Below are 22,422 nucleotides of genomic sequence, written 5' to 3' on the forward strand. Positions count from 1 at the left end.
GACCAGGAGCCAGCCTAAATGCTCAGAGACCCATGCAAAGGGAAAATGACTGGCTCCTCAGGAGAATTCAGAGAAATGTGAGCAATGCACCTGTACCTCACACCTTACCTATTCTAGTCGTGCTCTGGACAATGTATACGATGATGTAAGGGAAATATAGGAGAGTGGACAATTCTAGTTTATGCCAGATAGGCTATTCCAAATTGCAGGTAGTAACTACAGATATTCTTAACAAAAACCGGATTTCCCAGGGCTCTGGCCTTTTCTTCCCTGAGCAGCACAATGACCAGTTCCTGCCTTGACAAGAATTCTGTCATAGATTTCTCAGTTGCGCTGCCCAGGAAGCAGATGAGGCCTGGGAACAATGAGGAATGTCTTCCCTGGACTTGGCATGCCTCACTTGCAAGCACACCACATGCAGGTCCTGTGGACTGATAGGCTTGATAGACAGATAAGTCCTGTTTCCAGCTACCAGCCTCCATCCCCTGAATGCTGTTGTCACCCAGAACTGTAACCCTGGTCACAAAGATGGAGCAGGTAGTGGCCCCTTAATGTGAAGAAATTTTCCATCATGCAATTATTACCCGGTGCCTACATGAGTTGGACTCAAACCAGCAGATTTTTACCTCAGTAGTAAAGGATTTATGACAGAAACGGATGGCTCTGGTAATTCTATACCCACAGGTATTCACCTGATAACCTTGACATGTGTCCCCTAGGTTTTGCGGGTTTGGTGGAATATCTCTGAGTGCACCTCACTGAACACATATATCCTCATTCCCACCTCCCTGGACGTGCATCTCCTTGTGTTATTGTCTTATGCCAACTCTGAGGAGCGCCATCCCCTAACTCCTTTTATTTCTTATTACTCAGGCAAGGAATAAAAGTGCGTTTGTGACTAATGTTGCCCCATTAGAAACAAAAAAGAGATAATGACCACTACTGTTCAACTGTAATTTACACTAGAGGTATAGCTATAAGGTTATTTTTAGATTTCAGCAAGTCTCTTTGATTTTGCATTTCTTACAATATATACTGATATTTTCAGGGATAAGAGAATTCCCCACCTATCTTCGATAAAAATGAGAACTTACTTTCATTGCACTGGTGACCCAAAACTACAGGCAGAACCATGATGAAGGCTTGGTACACAATGTATCATGAATGATAACAGTAAAGAGGAAACTGTTCATCGGCCTTCACTAAAAATGAACCCTTCCAACTCTGTGCCCAGGTTATTGTTTTATCCCTTTAGCTTACAGCGCGTCAGCTTCTAGGATAAACTTGTGTCAATTACCCCAGCTTCTAAGTGCATAGGACAAGGAAGATAGAGAACCTAGTAAAAGAGAAACACCCAAAGAGAAGGATAATTGCTGATAAGACAAAGAGGTCACTAACTGATATCTCTGTTTCGAGTTGCCTTCAACTCGAAACATCCAGCAGAGGATGGGCCTAGAGATGGAGTAGGAGATCCAGTCCCCAAGCCCTAGAGATGTGAGTGAGGACACTTGGCTGAACTTACACAGTCTGTGAATACGGTAAAGCAACTTCGTGCTCTCTTTTAGCTTATAATAATTGGTTTCTAACAATGTAGGCATTTGTGGAGGCAATGATGTCACTGTGGGAACTGCCATGAGAGGACAGGGATGTCCCTCCTCCTTTGCTGTTGCTCACAGTGACCCTGATTGGGCAAAGCTCCCATCCTTCCCTGACCCTGCCATGGGCACCAGGCTCCTCTGCTGGGCGGCCCTCTGTCTCCTGGGAGCAGGTGAGTCCTAGGAACACCATGATCACATTGGATCTCTCTGATTATTTCAATCATTTCCTTCTGTTTTCAAATTCTGTCTTTTTCCTTCTCAGAACTCACAGAAGCTGGAGTTGCCCAGTCTCCCAGATATAAGATTATAGAGAAAAGGCAGAGTGTGGCTTTTTGGTGCAATCCTATATCTGGCCATGCTACCCTTTACTGGTACCAGCAGATCCTGGGACAGGGCCCAAAGCTTCTGATTCAGTTTCAGAATAACGGTGTAGTGGATGATTCACAGTTGCCTAAGGATCGATTTTCTGCAGAGAGGCTCAAAGGAGTAGACTCCACTCTCAAGATCCAACCTGCAAAGCTTGAGGACTCGGCCGTGTATCTCTGTGCCAGCAGCTTAGACACAGTGTAGCAGAGACACTTCCCTCCTGTGCAGAAAACCAGAAAACCGCAGGACTCTCTCCTCTCTACTCAGCTCACAGCAGCCTTTCCTTATTCCTCATCCTCCCAAGGAAGAAGTGAGTTTTCAGATATAGCTAGGACTCATATAGTGGGAGGAAATAAACTTTTTCTTTTCTTTTCTTTTTTTCTTTTTGTTTTTGAGATGGAGTCTTGCTCCATTGCCCAGGCTGGAGTGCAGTGGTGCGATCTGGGCTCACTGCAGTCTCTGCCTCCTGAGTTCAAGTGGTTGTCCTGCCTCAGCCTCCCCAGTAGCTGGGATGACAGGCATGTGCCACCATGCCCAGCTAATTTCTGTATTTTTAGTAGAGACGGGATTTTGATATGTTGGCCAGGCTGATTTCGAACTTCTGACCTCAAGTGATTCGCCCTTCTCGGCATCTCAAAGCGCTGGAATTACAAGCTTGAGCCACTGTGCCTGGCTGGAGATAAACTATTTCTTAAAACATGAAGGCTGCAGTTGTTATTTGAAAATATGTCTAAGGAATCTGAAACACCTATCGGTGAGAATTCAAGAAACCAAAACTGAAAGTGACTTATCACAGACTTAGTCTTCTGGGGTACTAATAGTTGTTCTTCTATTTAAAAAATGCATACAATATTTTATATCAATTAAAAAATACGTAAATTTGAAAAATAAAAACATGCAGTCAATAAACATGTGTGATAAACTTTAATAATACAGATAATGATTGTATGTGAGTAACAATCAGCAGGTTTTCTCTCTGCAGTTGTCAGCATATGAATAATTTGAATCCTATCCTTGGTGACACCCTGGCTCTGGAGCCTCCTCTAGACCTCTCATTGGATGTATTATGCAACCAAATCTCAACAGGTACTATGTGTTTGGAAATCTTTTTCCCCTGTTTTTGCGGAAATATGCTAATAAGAGTAATGTTAAAGATGATGATGTTGATAATTTCAACTATTTCATTCAGCACCCTTTAAATTTCAAAAAAATGCACACAAATGGATATCCTGGCAACGAGTCCAAAATCTTAGCTCAAAATGAATTCTGCTACTCCAGAGCTTTCTAACTCTTCCATGTAACAAACATATCCCAACATTATATGGGGCTAGGCCAGCTAGTTCAGAGACTGATGAGGACACTTTCACTTGTCTGTCCTCATATATTAAAATAGCTCCTTAGTTGATATGGTTTGACTGTGTCCCCACCCAAATCTCAACTTGAATTGTACCTCCCAGAATTCCCACGTGTTGTGGGAGGGACCCGGGGGATATAATTGAACCATGGGGGCCAGTCTTTCCCATGCTATTCTCATGATAGTGAACAAGTCTCACGAGATCTCATGGGCTTATCAGGGGTTTCCACATTTGCTTCTTCCTCATTTTCTCTTGCCGCCACCATGTAAGATGTGCCTTTTGCTTCCTGCCATGATTCTGAGGCCTCCCCAGCCATGTGGAACTGTAAGTCCAACTAAACGTCTTTTTCTTCCCTGTCTTGGGTATGTCTTTATCAGCAGCATGAAAACAGACTAATACATCAGTGCATTAGATATTCCTGAAAGAACTTCAGAAGCAATTAACTGCCCCTGGTCCAGTTGCCTCCTCTGATAATGCATTGTGTGTGTCCAACTCTAGTCTCTACCCTATCTTCTGCCCAGACTGTCTTGTACTAGAAATTATTCTGAAGTATTGGTTAGAATGTTTGGAAATGCAGCTTCCTGGGAATCTTCTGAAGGACTGTCACTGTCCCTCAGCCCCTCCTGACTTCCCTTTCCATCCACCTGACTGCAGGTCCTAACTGATGGCCATGAACTCACTACACATCTCCCTTCCTTCCCTGCAATTTACTCAGCTAACAACACCTCAGCCAGGTGGTGGGTGACCATGACCATCCTCCACTTCCTTGCCAGAATTTTCATTTGGTTCTTTTTCTGATCTATAAGGTTATCTTTTACGGTCAGTCATTCCCTCATAACCTTTTTTGAGTGTATCTTTTATTTCGTTGAGCATAGGACACTCAGTTATTTCAGTCTGTCTGCTTATTTTCACCTCTGTGGTCTTTGTGGACATTTTTGTATGTGTGCTGCTTCTCAGTCATTTGTTTGTATTTTTCCTTTTAAACCTGATTATTTTTGACATCATGCCAGACACTATGGCTGTAGAAATAATTTCTGGTCTAGGATGGATATATCTTTCTCCAGAGATAATTTTATTGTGCTTTGTAAAGTGCATGGATGCATAAACAATCCAGGACTCCCTGGAACAGAATTAAAGGCTTGAGGTGTCCTGGAGACCCTGGAGGACAGGCTTCCTTCTAGTGCATTGATTCTATTCAAGTCCCTCAATGGTCACATTAAGTAAGTTATGGTCTTTGCCTTTACCCCTCTGGACTGTGAGTCAGCTTCCTTAGTGCTGGGCTGGGATCAGCAAATGCCCATAAGGGCAGTGACTGCTGTGCTCACTCCCGAGGCCCCTGCCTTCTCCAAGATTCTGGCCCAGTTATTCCTCATCGTATCTTTAGGATATGAATTAGTTGCAGTTTGTTAGTGTGGTTATTTTACTCAAGTACATAAATAATAACAAAAGCATTAATCTGAGTTCCCTCTTCTGTAATTATACAGATTAAGGTCAAAACATTTTATCTGAAGTTTTAATTTTCTTTGAATTTTAACGTCAGATTCTTAGTCTGATTTGTTTGATATTTGACTTAAACAGCGTAGAGATGTTATACAGAAACTTTAATTTTAAGGAAAGAACTTTTTAAAAACTTGAAGTGGATTTATAATCAAATTGGGACCCTTACTTGGTTTTGAGGTTTTATCATTTGAGTATTTTTATGTTATTTATTACATAATCTTTGATGCTTCACTGGATCATGAGACAAGATGAGAACAGAGAGTGAATATTTAGACTTGATCAGAGAGCACAAAGTGAACATGGAATTAGTTTCTGTTGATGAACAGTCCAACTATGTAAAATATTTAAAGACATTTATTCTGAGCCAAATATGAGTGACCATGGCCTGTGAAACAGCCTTCTGGAGGTACTGAGATCAGTGCCCAAGGTGGTCAGGGTGCAGCTTGGTTTTCTACATTTTAGGGAGACATGAGACTTGAGACTTCAATCAAACACAATTAAGAGATACATTGTTTTTGGCCAGAAAGGCAGACACCTGGAGGCAGGAGTGGGGAGAGGTTCCAGCTTAAAGGTAGATTTAAAATTTTTCTGGTTGACAATTGGTTGTCTCTCAGGTTAAATTTTAAAAGAGCCCTGGCTGGGTAGGAAGTCCATTCAGATTATTGGGGGCCTTTTAATTTTATTTGTGGTTTACACTTCATTTCTGCATTGTTGTGATCCATTTGTGCCATGTTTTTTGAGTACACCTGAGGGCCAGGGGTCAGAACTAGAGGGAGTCACAGATGTGTGACTATCATCTTTTCCTACTTAAGCCCAGGCTTCTGGGAAAACACTTTGCTCCACATTTTCCATTTGAGGGAACTTGCCTAAAGCAATGCTCCAGTTTTATTCTTTCTATTGCTTGCCAAATCTTCCCTATGGGAAGGGAAATAAGTTATTTTATTTAGTCTCCTCTTCATCTGAGGTTCCTCTCTCTTCATCCTCTCCCTTTCATCCTGGCTACTGGGAATAAAAGCAGATTCTTTTGGTGCTTTTTTAAATGCACTAAGATCAGTGGGAAACTTTCTTTTCCTTATAGGGATGGCCTGTAATTTGGAGGGGAGAGAGAATGGATTAAATTCTGATTCAAGACAGTGTTGGTCGGTCTTTTTGCCCTCCCATCTGAGCCGGGTTGTTTATGGATATTAAAACTGATATTATGTCTCCATCTGTCAGACTGTAATGTCCATCTCTCAGGTGGTTCCATCTTAGGTCATAATGTTGTTTTATGACCCTCCAACACCACAAATTATGGTATCTCGTTTCCCCATGGCTCAATAAAGGGAAGTGCAAGTCCTTGGTCTTGACAAAGAGCACATTTGTGCTGTTCCTGCCTACTGGCCACCAGGAGGCACTGTGGCTTCACTGTCATCCAAAGTCTATGGGGGAGGGGCTGGGATTGCTCCCTGGAGGATCCTTAATGAAAACCCTGGAGTTGGACCTAGAGTCAGGGAGCTGGGTTGGAGGTACCTGCAATGAAGGCTGAAAATAAAGGGATTAGAGACCAACCCTTTTGCCTCTTGATGCGGAGATGGGTTTTGCTGTAAATTGAGATTTGAATAGGGCTCTGAGTGGCAGATGGGCTTGCAAGTGGATGTAGGTCTGAGCTCACTGAAGACGTGGAGGCACAAGGAGCTGGGGTGGTGCGGCGCCGTGTTCTGGGCTGGGGAAAGCAGAAAAGCAGTGTTTGTGTCACAGGAGCCTTGTAGAGCCTGGCCCCAAGCCGGCCGAGGCTAGCCCTACCTGTTCCGTCGAACGTAGAGGGAAGAACAGGTAGAAATGGAGGCGCTACCCTGGACCATGTCAGGGGGAGCCTGTCCTCAGGCAGCTTCAATCACAATGATGTACCAGCAGCATATACACTTATTAGCAAGGCTTAGGGTGGAGTAGGACAGAATTTTCTCCCCCAAGAACCTTTGCTCAGGGCGGGAAAATGCCGCAGTCTAGTTCTAACTCTATTACTCCAGATGCCTCTGTGTCCCTGGAAGAAGGTGGGGTCTGGGCATATAAAAGTTTTGTTTGTTTTGCCTGGGTTGATTTCGTTTTTCCACGTGATCGTGCATCTGACTCTACCAGTATTTTGTATCCGGCTTCTGCCTCTCTCTCTCATGAGTCCCATGGCTACTATAAGGTATTCAATTTCTATTGCTGCTGTAACGAATTACCACTAACTTGGTGGCTTACAACCACACAAGTATTACCTTACAGTTCTGGAGGTCAGAAGTCCAAAATGGATGTTACTGGGCTAAAATCCAAGCGTTGGCAGGGCTGCATTCCTTCCTGAGGCTCTAGGGAAGAACTGTTTTTCTCTCCTTTTCAGCTTCTAGAGGCCACCAGTGCTCCTTGGCTCATGGCCCCATTCAATCTTCAAAGCCAGCAAGGACTGGCTGAGACTTTGCTCACTCTGCATACTCTGATGCTCACTTTTCATCCTCCCTCTTCCACATTTTAGGACCATTGTGATTACATTGGGCCCCTATATTAAGGTCAGCTGATTGGCAAGCTCACTTCACTTGGAACATTAATTCCCCTTTATCAGGTAATTTAACACATTCCAGGGATTAGGCCTGGGCATGGTTGAAGGGGCATTGTTCTGACTACCAAACCTAGGCACCTGGTAATAGGGAGGAAAACGTGTTGGTCACCTTAAAAACTGATTGATGACTACCGTTTTACATTCTGGATCTAACACACACAACAAAGGGATGGAACCCACAAGGAAACAGACACCTCAGGTCACACAAGCTCATCTGTAAACTATTTGCTCCTTAGGATGGGCAAGTCCCCTGGGGCGCAGGGGACTCAGCTGTATGCCTCTGTGCCAACAGCGAAAATGTGGCCTTAAACTGCTCCTTCTTCTTTGTTAGCAAATAACCTAGTTGACCAATTCATAGAGCAGAGGTTCTCTCAGTTCTCTATACTCTACACCCCGAGAGGAAGTCAGTTAGTGAGATGTAAGATTCTTTTATAAGAAAAAGACCAGGTGTAAAGATTAAGAAATGCTGAGCTTTGCTAGAGGTAAGAATAAGATGTAAATCAACTCTGGAACATTTAATTTCCAAATCTTTGTGAGAAAGACAATCTTGTTTCTGATTTATTGTGTGGATAGAGAATGTGAGAGATTCTGTGCTCTGGGCTTTGCAAACTCAATAGAGTTCAAGGATCAATAAACTCGGAGAGACCCTTCACTGCAAAGAAGAGCTTTGAAATCTAATGAGCTTCCGGGACACTGATTCAGCTCCTGTATCTTTAACAACGCGGTTGACATGCTTGCTCTTCCTGGGTAACTCAGATGCTAACTTCTAACTCATTTAAAGGCATTTGAAGAACTAGGAGCACAGAGTCACCAGTGAGAGGAAGAGGAGAGTTTGCAGAGAAGCTGGCTTGCAATAAGGCAATGAGTTCATCTTTAAATACTTGGAGTTTGAGGTGCAGATGGATATAGTTGGCAGGCTCCTAGGTAAGGCATGTTATGGAGAAGGTGCTATGAATTGATAATATCAAAGCAAATCTACAGGGATCCTCTGCAAGTGTGCATCTGTATCTCAGATCAATTATAGTTGACTTCAGTCCTGCCTGATTCATCTCCCAAAAATGTAGTCTGCCTGATTCATCTCCCAAAAATGTAGCCTCCGCTTAAAGGAGCTTTCAAGTTGGGGGTGGTGGGCCATTCAGTGTTGTCACTAACAGATGCATCTTGTGGGGGTAAAATGTCCCAAAGTATCTTTTCTTGCTTATGTTCATAAGGGCGCTGGTCTGGAATGTGCCACATCTGTTCTCACTCTGCCATGGACTCCTGGACCCTCTGTGTGTCCCTTTGTATCCTGGTAGCGAGTGAGTCCTCATGTATTTATCATCCTCATGCTGGGCCTCTGTATAGATGACTTCCTGTATTTTCCTTATTCTGTTTCCTAATTTTGCGTTCTTTTATAGCATGCACAGATGCTGGCATTATCCAGTCACCCAAGCATGAGGTGACAGAAATGGGACAAACAGTGACTCTGAGATGTGAGCCAATTTTTGGCCACAATTTCCTTTTCTGGTACAGAGATACCTTCGTGCAGGGACTGGAATTGCTGAGTTACTTCCGGAGCTGATCTATTATAGATAATGCAGGTATGCCCACAGAGCGATTCTCAGCTGAGAGGCCTGATGGATCATTCTCTACTCTGAAGATCCAGCCTGCAGAGCAGGGGGACTCGGCCGTGTATGTCTGTGCAAGTCGCTTAGCCACAGCGCTGCAGAATCTCCCCCTCCCTGTGCAGAAACTCTGGTGCTTCCTCTTTTCCTCACAGCTCCCAGCAGTCCTGAGCAAAGTCTTTCCTGCCTCACCCTCCCCACAAGAATAATTAAGTGGGTTTGGGGCATGGCAAAGACATAAGATGATACAATATCAACATACAAAATCTTGTGTAGGAGATAATGTCGAAAATGCATTTTGCAAATTTCTCACAAATTGTGTATGGGGTCATAACTCACACACAGGTAGGATAAACCTTAATTACCCACACCGTAGGTTTCCCTGCCTTCCTGTATTTGACACTCCCATCCAAACAGTGGGAGCTCTTGAGAATGGCTATGTCTTGTGAACTACTCTGCCCACTTCATTCCCTTCTCACTCTAAGCCATGAACAGAAATTTCCCCTACAAGTACTCTTTATTGTAAATGAAAGTTCTTTTCTATGATTGTGGACATTCCTTTATAATGCTAATTTCAATTTACCATTTATATACGGATTTTTACATTAAACTTAAAGAGATCTTCAGTGTGGATAATACAGGCAGTTTAATACATTAGAAGTAAGCTACCCCTCTTGGCCTACAGGGATCCATTTGTTTCTATCTTGCATAAAGCAAGCCAGGTGCTAGCTAAAGGTCTGTGTGCACTCACAGGACACTGATGAGATCTCCTCCACTGCCTGTTCTGGAACTATCAATATGAATATACACAGGGTGTCTAAAAGCACACAGGGCCTGGTGTGGTGGCTCATGCCTGTAATCTCAGCACTTTGGGAGGCTGAGGCGGGAGGAATGCTTGAGGTGGGGAGTTCAAGACTAGGCTGGGAAACAGTGAGATTTTGTCTCTAAAATATATATATATTTTAAAAATTAGCCTGGTATGGCAGTCTTAGCTACTCAGGAGGCTGAGTTGAGAGGGTTGCTTGAGCCCTGAAGTTCGAGGCTGGAGTGAGCCATGATCATCGCAACAGAGTAAGACCCCAAATCACACACAAAAAATAAATAAATAAAGTTAAAAAACATACACAGGCCTGGCCAGTCTTACTTGGCCCTCTTTCCTCCCTGATGCTGTGTCCTGAACAGCCAAATCTGTATTTTTTTTCTTCTGGTTTATGATACACATTTCTACACAGCACTTGCAATTTATTATGAAGAGTTATAATGTCTTTCTTCTATAGTAGTATTTACATACTGATGATTTCTCAACCCCTATCAGTGTATCATCGGCAATTGTTGCAAAATGTGCCTGTATTTTGCATGCCCAAGACAATTTGGGTTTACCCGAGTTCTTCGATAGAGGCCCTGGTTTCGCTTGTCACTGTCCTATTTTTGTTATTCAAAGACTGAGACTTTCAAGATCAGAATGATGCAGAATGAAATTCGGGGTATCCTTTAATGTACATCGAGAGACCTACTCTGTGTTTATATATTGTTTTGGTGTCTTCCTTGCTCTTTGGGCTTCTCTCTGTTGCCTCCAGATCATTTTCCTTCCTCCTTTGAAGCCCAGCTCCTTTACACACATGACATTAGAACAGCACCCTTCTTTGCTGCACTTGCTTCTTTCCCTTCAGAACTCTCTTCTCATTCAGTCCTTCTGTCTGCTACTAATCTTGTCATCATTCCTAATGGCTACTCATCACACAGACCATTTTTCATTGGTTTTGCTTCTCACTTTCTTGACTTCCTCACTTTTGACATTTTATCCATTAATCCTAACATTGTATATCTGACAAGGAAGATATTAAAAATCACATGTTTTGAATCAGTGAATCAATAAACAGGTTTAAAGAGACAAATGCAAAACAAAATTGTCCAGAGCTGCTGTTCTGGGCTGGACTACAGATAGATCATGTAAGAAATAATAAAATCATCTGGTAATTTCAATTTATCTTTAGAATCTTTGGACAGAACAGCTCCAGGGGAGTCAAGGGATCATAGATGGTAAGAGAGACAAAGAGGTTAGGAGGTGAGAACTGGCTAGGGTGGCAGTCCCTAACCTAAGGTTTTCAAGGATAATATCAAGGTCCTCAATTTCTTTTTAATATTTTTTGAAAGTGAAAGGAAATTATGCACATGACCCAAGCTATACATAATAAGGAAATTGACTCATGTCTTTGCTGAGATGGAATTATATTAAAGTTCTGTGAAATTAACTTATGGGCTCATCTCATGCTGATTAAAAACCCTGATTGACAGCGCTGTGTGTTACAAAAATGACAAAATAAATGATTACTTTAAAAACATTATTTTAAAAAATTAGCATTTGCCAAGAGTGGGGGTAAAAAATGACATACTGCCAGATGGTACAAGGAATGGAGACGTTTGAGGCTTCCAGAGCCTCTGACCTAGCTCACCCCACTTTCCCGGGCCCGATGTCTTCTAAAGTTCATCTGTGCAGGGAAAGGGAAGTGTAGTTGTGCAGGAAATACGGCAGGTTAGGAAATCACAGGCTCTAGAGCTTTTACAGGCTTTTACATCCTGTGTATCTGTGCTATTTCCACAGTCTGCAACAAACTGTATTCTCCCCAAACAGGGCCAGACACTCCTCATCTATCAAGGACTGACTCACATCTACCTTCCTCTTTGCTTCTTACCCTGACATTCCCTGGCCACTGCAGTATATCATTCTGTTTCCTTTACATTCAGAGGAAAATTCAGGTATATAATTGATACTACTCGATGTTTGTGAAATGAATAAATTAATGTCCATTTATACAGAGCTCTGAAATATTATCTATTACTGTTTTCCCTTCAAAAGGGGCTCCTTTTACTTGAAATATGATGGAGAGTCATTATGGCTAGTCTCAATTTTCCATACAATTTCTGCAGTATTCCAAGCAAATGTGTTTTCCCAGTCAGGATTAATGACCAGTACTACCCAGTACCCTAACTATATCTAAAGCTGGAATTCACAAATGTCCTTTTGGAACAAAGAAATTTATGTTATAATAATATTTATCCAGTCCTATGATCCAGTAAAAGAAATTCCTCACCACAACCACACTTTTCCAAAATCACATCTTTATGAGTCTGGACACATTATCAGGGGTGCATTTCAGAAGTCAACCTAAAACACTGAGAGAAAAATTTGTTGTGCTCAGTAATAGAATCTTATCCTTGCAATAAGAAGATACCATGTGTGTATGTGTGTGTGTGTGAGTGTATATGTGAGTGTGTATGAGTGTGTGTGTGAGAGTGTATGTGTGAGTGTGTATGAGTGTGTGTGTATGTGCATTTTCTCATGCAGATTCATCCACATGAAAAAGTTTATCTTTGGATCGCATTACAAAGAGGCACTGGGTCACCTGGGGAGCTCATAGGCACTTCTGGCTAGTGATGGGAAATGTCACACCACTCAATCTGCCTAAGTTATAGCCAATAGGGTTGTTTATTTCAAGACTTTTTATAAATTCAGAATTAAATATGTAAAAACTAGAAGCCCCTTTTATTAAATGCACTATTTAAAATTTGGTAATAATGACTCTAAATACAAAATATGAAGACACATGAGATATTAAATATTTTTCCAAGATCATTCTGCTGGATAGCTTCACACTGTTTAATTGTATGTCCTGTCTTATTCAGGCTCCTCTCTTCCACCTTATCATATGAATTGCAATGACATAACAACGATTAATTTTGCAATCAAAATGTTGGTTAATACACCCTTTTGTCTCCACTGGCTAAGGGAGGATTTAGAGATTAACCCTAAATTGGCTTATCTGGGAAAGCTTAGAGAGGGTGTATGTGAGAGGGTGGGGGCTGCAGGAGCGGGATGCAGGGGTCTCTGTTACGGATTTGGACAATCTAGAGCTCATCAGATCAGAAGGTGTGAATCTGTGAGACTATGGATCTATAGCCACTTGGAGGCGCTGTGTCTCCGCAATGCTGCTGGGAACCCTGGGGAGGGGAGGGCAGGTGACCCAGAAGAGGAAGGCTGAAGAGAATGCCTGGCTGCCTGCTAGCATCAGGTGGGGGCCATTTGAGTTCAGAGTGAGTTCTGAGTTTAACACAGACTCCTCACTGTCCAGAGAAGGGTAGGGGTGCGAAAGGCCTCAGTTTGTACCAACAAGAGAGTGTCTCTGTGTCTGTCTGGCCAGTGGATGGTGAAGGGGCTGGGGCATCCAGGGCTTGGGAATCAGTGTCAGGGCAGGGACAGCGGTGGGTGGAGTAAGGTGTGACATGGACATGTGGATACTGTGCTCCACCTTTAGTTTCGGGACCCTTCAGGGCAGGAATGATACATGGGGTAGCAGAGCCAGGCACCCACCTAAGGGTACAGTGGGCAAAGGATGGCCTGCAGAGGAAGTAAATAGAAAGGCAAGTTTCCTATGGTAATGCCAAAACATTCCTGCCCCCACTCAGAAAAAGACCATGAATGGGATGTTGGCAGCCAGAGGGGCTCAGGATCTGGTGATCCGACAGGCCTTTCCCAGGTACCCTCTGTTGCTTCTTTATGAGACCTGTTTTGATTCTGACAGAAATCATGCAAAATAAGTATTATTTAACTGTGTATACACTTGACTGAAATAACTTTCCTGGGTCTTGTACACTCTTAGATGGAAGAAACCAGACCTGGCGTTGGATAGATCAGTAATAGGGTGACTGTAGTTAACATCAACCAATTATGCATTTCAAAATAGCTAGAAGAGAATAATTCAAATGTTCTTAAGGTAAAGAAAAGACAAATATTAAAGTGATGCCTATCCCAATGACCATGATTTGATTATATTAATGTATCAAAGATCACATCTACTAAAAAATATGTACATCTAATATGTATCAATAAATAGTTAATTGAAAAGAAGATAACTAGCTGAAGTCTGTTCCTCCAGCACCTCTACCTGCTGTCCCCACTCTGCAGATTTGTCCTCTCACATGGCCTTCCCTTTCCAGGTCCCCATTAGCAGGAGGAGAAAGTCAGGCATTATATGTGATCACTATACTCTCTTTGCTGAAAAGTCCAAGGAACATATAACTTCCAGGCTAAACATATTCATTCATCCTTCATTGTGACAAAAAAGAGAGGTGCAATTTTCTGCACCATAGCTGTCCTATGAATGAGGCCAGGTGATCTCTTTCATGAAGGATATGTGAGGAGAGAGATTTCTCAGTGCACAGCAAAGGGAATGGGATGTTTTTAAAGGAAAGTGTAGTTTTCCTGTACCTGATGTAATTTATTATGAGGGAAAAGACACAAATCATTATTATTCATTAGTTAATTTATTGATTTCATAAACATTTTAAGCCCCCTGCTTTGTACAAGGGATTGTGCCACATAAATTTAAAAGCGAAACAAAAAATAAAATTTAGAAAAACAGATAAGACAATTTTTAAAAACAGTATGTTTCTCGCCTTTGACAATATTAAGGCAATTAATATGGAAATGTATTTATTGAATTATTTTGAAATTTATATTTTGCTAATTCAAAATACTTTAATGTTTCTGAATTATACAAATGTCCTTTTTAAAAATCTTTCTCTTTAGTTACCTACCTCCTTTTACCACCTTTTTAAAAAAAATTTTAGTGAGAACATTTAATATGAGATCTATCCTCTTAACAGGCTTTTAAGTATATAGTAGAGTATCGTAGTCCACAGACACAAGGCTGTACAGTAGATCTCTAGAACTTCCTCATCCTGCTTAACTGGGAATTTTATACCTGTTGACAGCAACTCCCCATTGCCACCAATCCCTAGCCCTTGGAAACCAATGTTTCAGTTTTTACTTCCATGAGTTTGACTATTTAGGTTGCCTCATAAAAGTAGAAAAAGGCACGGTGGCTCACGCCTGTAATCCCAGTACTTTGGGAGGCCGAGGTGGGCACATCACATGAGGTCAGGAGTTGGAGACCAGCCTGGCCAACATGGTGAAACCCTGCATCTACTAAAAATACAAAAATTAGCTGGGCACGGTGGCAGGCGCCTGTAATCCCAGCTACTCAGGAGGCTGAGGCAGGAGAATCATTTGAACCCGGGAGGTGGAGGTTGCAGCGAGCCGATATTGTGCCATTGCACTCCAGCCTGGTCAACAAGGCGAAACTCCATCTCAAAAAAAAAAAAAAAAAAAAAGAGTCGTGCAGTATTTGTCTTTCTGTGTCTGGCTTACTCAGTTACCATAATGTCCTCCAGGTTTATCCACATTGCCACATATGGTGAGATTTTCTTCTTTTTTGATATTATTTCCTTGTGTGTATATAACACATTTAAGGTCTGTGGTAATAAATGCATAGTATTTGACTGTTTCTATAAAACCACACATCACACGAGTAACAGGGTCATTTGCAGAGGTGCAGGCTCTGAGTACATCAATGCACTTTTATGGTTCAATTATGCTGCACGGAGAAGATTCAGAAAAAAAAATCATAATTCCATCCTTTATTGTCATTTTACTATACACAAAATAGAAGCCCTTCATTTGCAAAATTGCAGTTAATTAGAAATTCAACTGTCAGAAAAAGCCTTAAGACACAAATGCTATTCTCATTTTACAGAGAGGAGGGAATTGACCCACAGGTTAAATAACATGATCACATTAAATGGCTATTAGGATGCAGTACCGGGGGTCCAGCTCTGACCTGTCAGTCTCTAAGCCCTGTGTTTATAGCTCTGTGCTATAAGGCATTTTCATGAAGAGAGACGCCTACCTTTCAAAATCAGAGTATTTGCTCTCTACATCCCTTTCAGACCTGCTGGCTCCAATAACATCACAGACAGAGATGAATGTATCCTGGAGACAGTATGGGGAAAGAACTCTGAAAAGATGCCATGGCACCCAGCCCTGACTCCCACTCTAACACCACCACATCACTAACTGAGACCAGCTCTTGACAGGTTAACTTTAGTTTGGTTTTTGTTTTGTTAATCTATAAAATGAGACTAATACAGTCTATCTATAGGGCTGTATATAGAATTTAGTATCATAAAATATCTAGCCTATAATAGGAATCTAAATCTCTTGATTCCCTTTGTTAATCTCAGACAGCCTCTTCCACCCTCACCATGCACAAAGGCAGATTCAGACACACTCTGCCTAGAAATCTTAAGCTGAGAACTTAGAAGTCACAGAAGTGGAAATATATATACCTGATGATCCCTCACATGAAATTAACTAAAGAATGTAGCATACATACCTCCTCAGATAGTTAAAAATCAACTTCATTAATATATAGATTATATAAACATTACACATTTTAAGTGAACTGATGAGTGATTTTGGAGCAACATATGTGTATAGACCCTTCAATCCCCACCCCTATTAAGATGCCGAACATTTCCATCACACAGAGAGTGTTCTCATTCCTCTCTGCAATGCCTCCCTCCATCCCTGACAACCAGTGATATTTATCACTAGAAAATTGTTTTGCTCAGGTATATTTTTAATGGAAATTTACAACCTCTAACTATTAAAACACTTCCTCTTTAGTACACAGGTAAATATTCAAGAGAGGGAGGTGCTCCCAAAGATATTTATGGCTATTCCCCTCAATGACAGAATGGATAAAGAAAATGTGACACATATACACCATGGAATACTATGCAGTCATATGAAAGAATGAGATCATGTCCTTTGCAGGGACATGGATGAAGCTGGAAGCCATTATCCTCAGCAAACTAATACAGGAACAGAAAACCAAACACCGCATGTTTTCACTTAGAGGGAGTTGAACGAAGAGAACACATGGACACAGGGAGGGGAACAACACACACTGGAGCCTGTCGGAGGGCGGAGGGTGAGAGGAGGGAGAGCATTACGATGAATACCTAATGCATGCGGAGCTTAAAGCCTAGATGACGGGTTGATGGGTGCAGCAAACCACCGTGGCACATGTTTACCTATGTAACAAACCTGCACATTCTTCACATGTATCCCAAAACTTAAAGTAAAATTTAAAAAATTTAAAAAAAGAGAGATTTTTTATGGCTTTAGAAGGGTTTCAAACCCTTCCAGAACCCTGAGAGACACCTGATCCACGTTAGGGATAATCCTGTCTGGAGATAGACAAGATGATGAAATGACACCAAAAATCTTCCCACATGGAAGAGGCTATTTCCACATAATTTGTTCATTCATTTTCATTATTTTTTCTCATACACTCATTCACTTAAATTATTTTATAATGATATTCTGACAAAAACTAATCATCTCCAAGAACATTATTTTGAGTTTCCATCAGACAATATTTAGCTGTGATTCAGCTCTGCTTCCTGAGCACATAGAGTGCACTGGGGCCAAGTGAACCATGTGCAATAGTGACTACCTTGAGAGATAATGTCACATTGAGAGAAGGGGTCTCTCTTCCTTGACCGCAAGTGTCCAACCCATAAAACATGAGCCTTGAGCTAGAAAATTCCCCTTTCTGTTCTGGCGCTGCCTGGGCACCAGGCTCTTTTGCTGTGTGTCCCTCTGTTTTCTGGACCAGAGAAATACTGGGCACATATGTGGCATCTACTCATTGGTTTGTTGGACCCTAGCTTGCAGATAATAGTACCAGGTGTTCCTTTGCTGTGACTTTAACTTCTGTGTTCTTCACAGGACACAGTCCCATTGATGGGATCCAAAGTACCATTGATACTGAGTGACCCAGACCCTGGTCATGTACTTGTGCTAAAAAGGAAAACAGCACATGGGGAGGTGAGCAGAATATGAAACACAATTATGGACTCAGAACCAGCCATACAACTTATTAGCATCCCGTTGGTTCAAAAAATCATAAGAATTTGAAGAACATGACAATGTTATACTGACTGTGGCGTCCTAATAAGTGTGGGACTCTGTGCACCAAGATATGTTATTTGAATTCCTTTTTATTGATTACTAAATTAATGGCAGGAATCCCACACAAAGGGATACTCCCTATGAAACATGACAACTCAAATTAAAAAAGAGCACTCTTCCTTACTCTAAAGTCTGCCCTCTCTCCCCGAGTCCCTCACGCATAAGGCCACATTTGTGCCCCTAGGTCATGGGCAGCGCTGGTTGGCCACCATCGTCCACATGTAGAAGGCAGTCAGCAACGTGAAGTGGTTCTGCCTACTGCGGTCTCACCCCAGACATGGAAAGCAAGAGCCCTGGGTGGAGCTGAAGGTGCTCAGCTGGGTTTGTCAGAAGTCTCATCTGTCAGTGAGTTGACAAGAAACAGAGCAAAACGACTCCTCCAATGTTGACGAGCCTGCCCCTGGGATTTGGAAACTTCATAACAGAAAAAACCAATATAGACAAAGGATTTTAAACAGGATTAAGGTCAATTAAGCAAATTAGAAAAGGACACTTGAAGGAGTATTTGGGACAGGGGAATCAAAAGCACCAGGAAGACATGAGGAGTTTCCCTAAGACTCTAGACTACAGCACTAGCACTATGTAGATAACTAACACTAAAATATTAATTATATCATTGAAAAAATAAAATTTACAGTGAATTACAAACTGTTTCCAAAAGGTCATGAAAATCTTGTAGACTTGTTTCAATTCAGACAGATGTGTTCTTCTCATTCTCAGCTGTTCACTGGTGCATTTATTTTGGATTTGACCATCTGGGGAATGGGTGTGGCCTCTCCTGGCCTCTCCCTCCCTGGGGCCCAGGCAGGGAGAATGTCTCAGAATGACTTCCTTGAGAGTCCTGCTCCCCTTTCATCAATGCACAGATACAGAAGACCCCTCCGTCATGCAGCATCTGCCATGAGCATCGGCCTCCTGTGCTGTGCAGCCTTGTCTCTCCTGTGGGCAGGTGGGTCCTGGGCAGAGCCCCTTGTGTGAATTTCAAGGCCCAGCGCCTTCCCATTGGGGCTGCAGCATCAGCTTTGTTCTCCTTCTCTGCAGGTCCAGTGAATGCTGGTGTCACTCAGACCCCAAAATTCCAGGTCCTGAAGACAGGACAGAGCATGACACTGCAGTGTGCCCAGGATATGAACCATGAATACATGTCCTGGTATCGACAAGACCCAGGCATGGGGCTGAGGCTGATTCATTACTCAGTTGGTGCTGGTATCACTGACCAAGGAGAAGTCCCCAATGGCTACAATGTCTCCAGATCAACCACAGAGGATTTCCCGCTCAGGCTGCTGTCGGCTGCTCCCTCCCAGACATCTGTGTACTTCTGTGCCAGCAGTTACTCCACAGCGCTACAAGGCCGTCTCCTCTCTGCACATAAAGGCAGGGAGGTTCTGCCCTCCTCCCCCACCCAAGACTCAGGGATGCCCTGGGCAGAGATCTCTGCGCCAGGAACCTTGGAACCCACAGTGGCCCCAAGTGGCCTGGACAGTATGAGCCTTGCTCTGTGCCAGGTGCCTCTGCAGGCATCTCAGCCAGGCCTGGACTGGTCCCAGGTCCTCAGATGTCTCCTTTGTTGCTTTCTCTGGTCTATCCTTGGAGCTTTCCTTTTGGGGTGGGGCCAGGGCTTTCCCAGCTCCTACTTTTCTACTCATTATCCTGAGTCCGAGGCCCCCAGGATAAAACAGGATTTGCATTTCAGATCCATCTAGACTCCCGTCTCTCCCTGGTGACCCTGTTGCTTCCTCTCTCTAATGTTTCCCCCAGCCCCCACCCTCATGTTTTCTCTCCTGTGGCCCACCTTTCCCATCTGGGCAGTCACCCTCCAAGGCGTTGCTGGGTCTCTCCTCCCCCCACCTCCTCGCCCCTCTCTACTGCAGCCATGAGGGGAGCCCCTGTTCTGTGCCTCCTTCCTTCCCATCACAGAGACTTCAAAGGCCATTTCCTCTGCCCTTGCATGGAGCCTTCCTTTCTGCAGTGGCCAGCTCCTACCTGTCCTTCATATCTCAGCATGATCAACCCCTCTTGTGGGAAGCGCTCCCTCCCCTCCCATCTGAAATCAACTTTCCTCTCATAAGCTGTCACAGATTCATGTGTCTGTTAGTAACCTTTAGCACAGCTTGGCTTTCTCAGATACTTGTCTGGTTATTTTTGTACTCCACCCAATTTTTAAGCCCATGAGAGCTAAGGCTGTGCCTGCTGCATTTACCAACATTGGTGTCTGGCATGTAGGGAGACCCATTTCACAAAGAATGGATGAGTGAATGACAGGCTGAGTGAGTGATGAGTGGGTGGATAAACCAATAATAAAAACACACTACATCTACTGTAACCTGGCAGAGATCTAGCATTAAGTACAAGAAAGCCCATCCCTTTGATTGCTGGGCTCAGGTCGGTCTTGGAAATTGATGGAGAATCACTATCATGGCGGCCACACCTGGCTCAAAGCTTCCTCTTGTGGTTGCAGAGCCTGACCTCCTCCAGGTCTCTGTGCTCTCCTTCAGGGTCTTTCCCCACAACAAAGCGAGACAGATCAGAGATCCACTTCTAGAATTCCATCCTTAAAGGTTGTTCCTTGAAACCACTTCTGGTAAGAAAATCTCCATTAAGTTTGCAACAATAAAACAGGGCCGCTACAAGTTTGAGAGTGTAACAAATTTACGATCAGAATTAGACTTTATGCATATGTGGGAGGAGCTGAGAAAGAGAAGGTCTGGAGGAGAGAAGTCAGAAGGCGAGGGAGCCAGTCAATAGCCAGGGCTCCTGGGGGTCTCGGCAGGACAGGCTGGATTGGCAGGGACATGAAAGGATCAGAGTATGCCAGGACATGCAGTGGGACCTTGAACCGGGGGCACAGGAAAAGGCCAAGGAAACCTGCTTCTGGGGAAGCTGTTCCCACTCTACGGGGGCCACCCCTGCAGGTGCACTGCCAAAACAGCAGCCTGGCTGCTGTTTGCCAGCATTTGGGAAGATGAACTAGACACAGAGTGCAGAAGGAACAAGACTTCCTAGGTCTGTTGGATGCCTCTGTATCTGCTGGTCACAGACTCTCACTGTCTGACCACAATGACCTGCCAAGTCTAATAGTGACTGCTTTTCATCTGTCTTCCAAATTTTACCAAATGTATCCTTGACCATCTCTAACCCAGAATGATAAGAGAAATGGCATTCTGGGAAAGGCAGGCTCTTGCCTTTGCAAAGCTGACTTAACTCAATTCAGCCCATGATGGATTCTTCCAGATTAAGGCATCAGATCACACAACTGCCTCAACCTGCCATGGTCCCTGGACTCTTCTCCATGGACATCTGTGTTGCCCAGGTGAATGTGGACACAATTTGTATGTGGATGTTCCAGACACTGGCTACTAACTTTTCTTTTAATCCTGTACCTGAAATCTCCCTCCACCCAGAGGGTCTATAAATGTATGAGATTTATTTTTTAAAAAATAGAAATTTGAATTCTATTCTGAATCTTTCCTTGGGACTGGCCAGAGAGCATTTTTGACCTACTAACCTATATTGTGGGTGTATTTGGCCCCCCAGAGTGCAGCAGACACTTCTTGGGCCCATACATTTGCGAGTTAGACTGGAGATGCCTGTAAACATGACAGATTCTTGGTGTTGTTCCCTCTCAGTCCCGGCCTCTCTGGAATGTCGCAGACTACCATCAAACAAATAGATCCCCAGTATGAAGTACATAAGGACACATTAGGAGTTAGCAATGAGGAAATGTGAGCACAAGCAACAAACGTTTGAAGTGCAAACCCGAAGACTCAAAATTTTGGCATTATAAGATATGAAAGTTTGGAGAGCTACATTTAAATGAACATGAGAGGGAAAAAGAGAAACAAGGAAAAAGAGAATGTCTGAAACCATCAAGTAACTTTCATAAAAATTGTCAAATAATATATCTAGAAATTCCTCATACAACCACTGAAAACAAAATGGAAAGTCAAACAGTTGATTAGCTGCTCCTATGTCAAAGATGGATCTGCAGGAGTGATCTAGAATGCAGCACGGAAAATTAAAAGTGGAATATGAAAAAGTTAAAGAACAGGGAAGAAAAGAAATGGATGTTTCCCATATATTAGAATATGCAAATTTTTCATAAATTACCATTTTTTTTTGCATATGATTGCAGTTTCAAATAGATAAAATAGGTAGAATGTTATGAGGTGATATTTATGAGATGTTAGCTGACAATTATTTAGAGGTGTTTAAGGACCTAAATTCAGAGTTTCCAGAATCAAAATGAATCTCAAGTAAGACAAATAGTCAAGTCATAGGGAAATTGTATAACATGAGGGACAAAGAGAAGATTTTGAAAGCAGTCAGAAAGAAAAGACAGATACCTCCCATAGGAATAGATGGAGAACAACAGTAAGTCAAGATAGTGGTTAAAAATAACCGTTAGCTCAATCGTCATTCTCCTTCATTAGAGGTGAGATTGATTAAAAAAAAAACTTTTATACGTGGAATATGAAAAACCACCACTGTGAGTTTGCTACCAAGTTATCTTTTCTGAATTACAGTTAACAAAGGTGGGAAATGATCC

At 42.7% G+C, this 22,422-nt stretch overlaps 1 pseudogene, 2 gene segments (V, D, J or C) and 1 further gene, besides 10 other annotated features; all 4 read left to right on the plus strand.

The window, feature by feature from the left end:
- Positions 1–22,422, plus strand: part of TRB (T cell receptor beta locus) — a 514,277-nt gene that overhangs the window by 133,226 nt on the left and 358,629 nt on the right.
- On the plus strand, positions 1,720–2,158 carry TRBV11-2 (T cell receptor beta variable 11-2). The segment is given in 2 exon segments: positions 1,720–1,768; positions 1,861–2,158. Coding segments are annotated over 2 exon segments (347 nt in total), but the record flags the coding sequence as incomplete, so codon positions are not given.
- Positions 2,159–2,165: a recombination feature (RSS_heptamer).
- Positions 2,166–2,188: a recombination feature (RSS_spacer).
- Positions 2,189–2,197: a recombination feature (RSS_nonamer).
- Positions 7,909–9,108: an enhancer, noted in NCBI's record as "CDK7 strongly-dependent group 2 enhancer chr7:142190619-142191818 (GRCh37/hg19 assembly coordinates)". NCBI's record gives its function as "activates an origin of replication core promoter dependent on BRD2, BRD4, P300/CBP, MED14 and CDK7 cofactors, with strong dependence on CDK7, by STARR-seq in HCT116 cells {active_cell/tissue: HCT116}" and the evidence as "EXISTENCE:reporter gene assay evidence [ECO:0000049][PMID:35650434]".
- On the plus strand, positions 8,647–9,089 carry TRBV12-2 (T cell receptor beta variable 12-2 (pseudogene); annotated as a pseudogene). Its single transcript is given in 2 exon segments — positions 8,647–8,692; positions 8,792–9,089. Coding segments are annotated over 2 exon segments (344 nt in total), but the record flags the coding sequence as incomplete, so codon positions are not given.
- Positions 9,090–9,096: a recombination feature (RSS_heptamer).
- Positions 9,097–9,119: a recombination feature (RSS_spacer).
- Positions 9,120–9,128: a recombination feature (RSS_nonamer).
- Positions 18,777–19,212, plus strand: TRBV6-5 (T cell receptor beta variable 6-5). The segment is given in 2 exon segments: positions 18,777–18,825; positions 18,918–19,212. Coding segments are annotated over 2 exon segments (344 nt in total), but the record flags the coding sequence as incomplete, so codon positions are not given.
- Positions 19,213–19,219: a recombination feature (RSS_heptamer).
- Positions 19,220–19,242: a recombination feature (RSS_spacer).
- Positions 19,243–19,251: a recombination feature (RSS_nonamer).

The sequence above is a fragment of the Homo sapiens genome, chromosome 7 (assembly GCF_000001405.40).
Source record: "Homo sapiens chromosome 7, GRCh38.p14 Primary Assembly".
Classification (NCBI taxonomy): domain Eukaryota; kingdom Metazoa; phylum Chordata; class Mammalia; order Primates; family Hominidae; genus Homo; species Homo sapiens.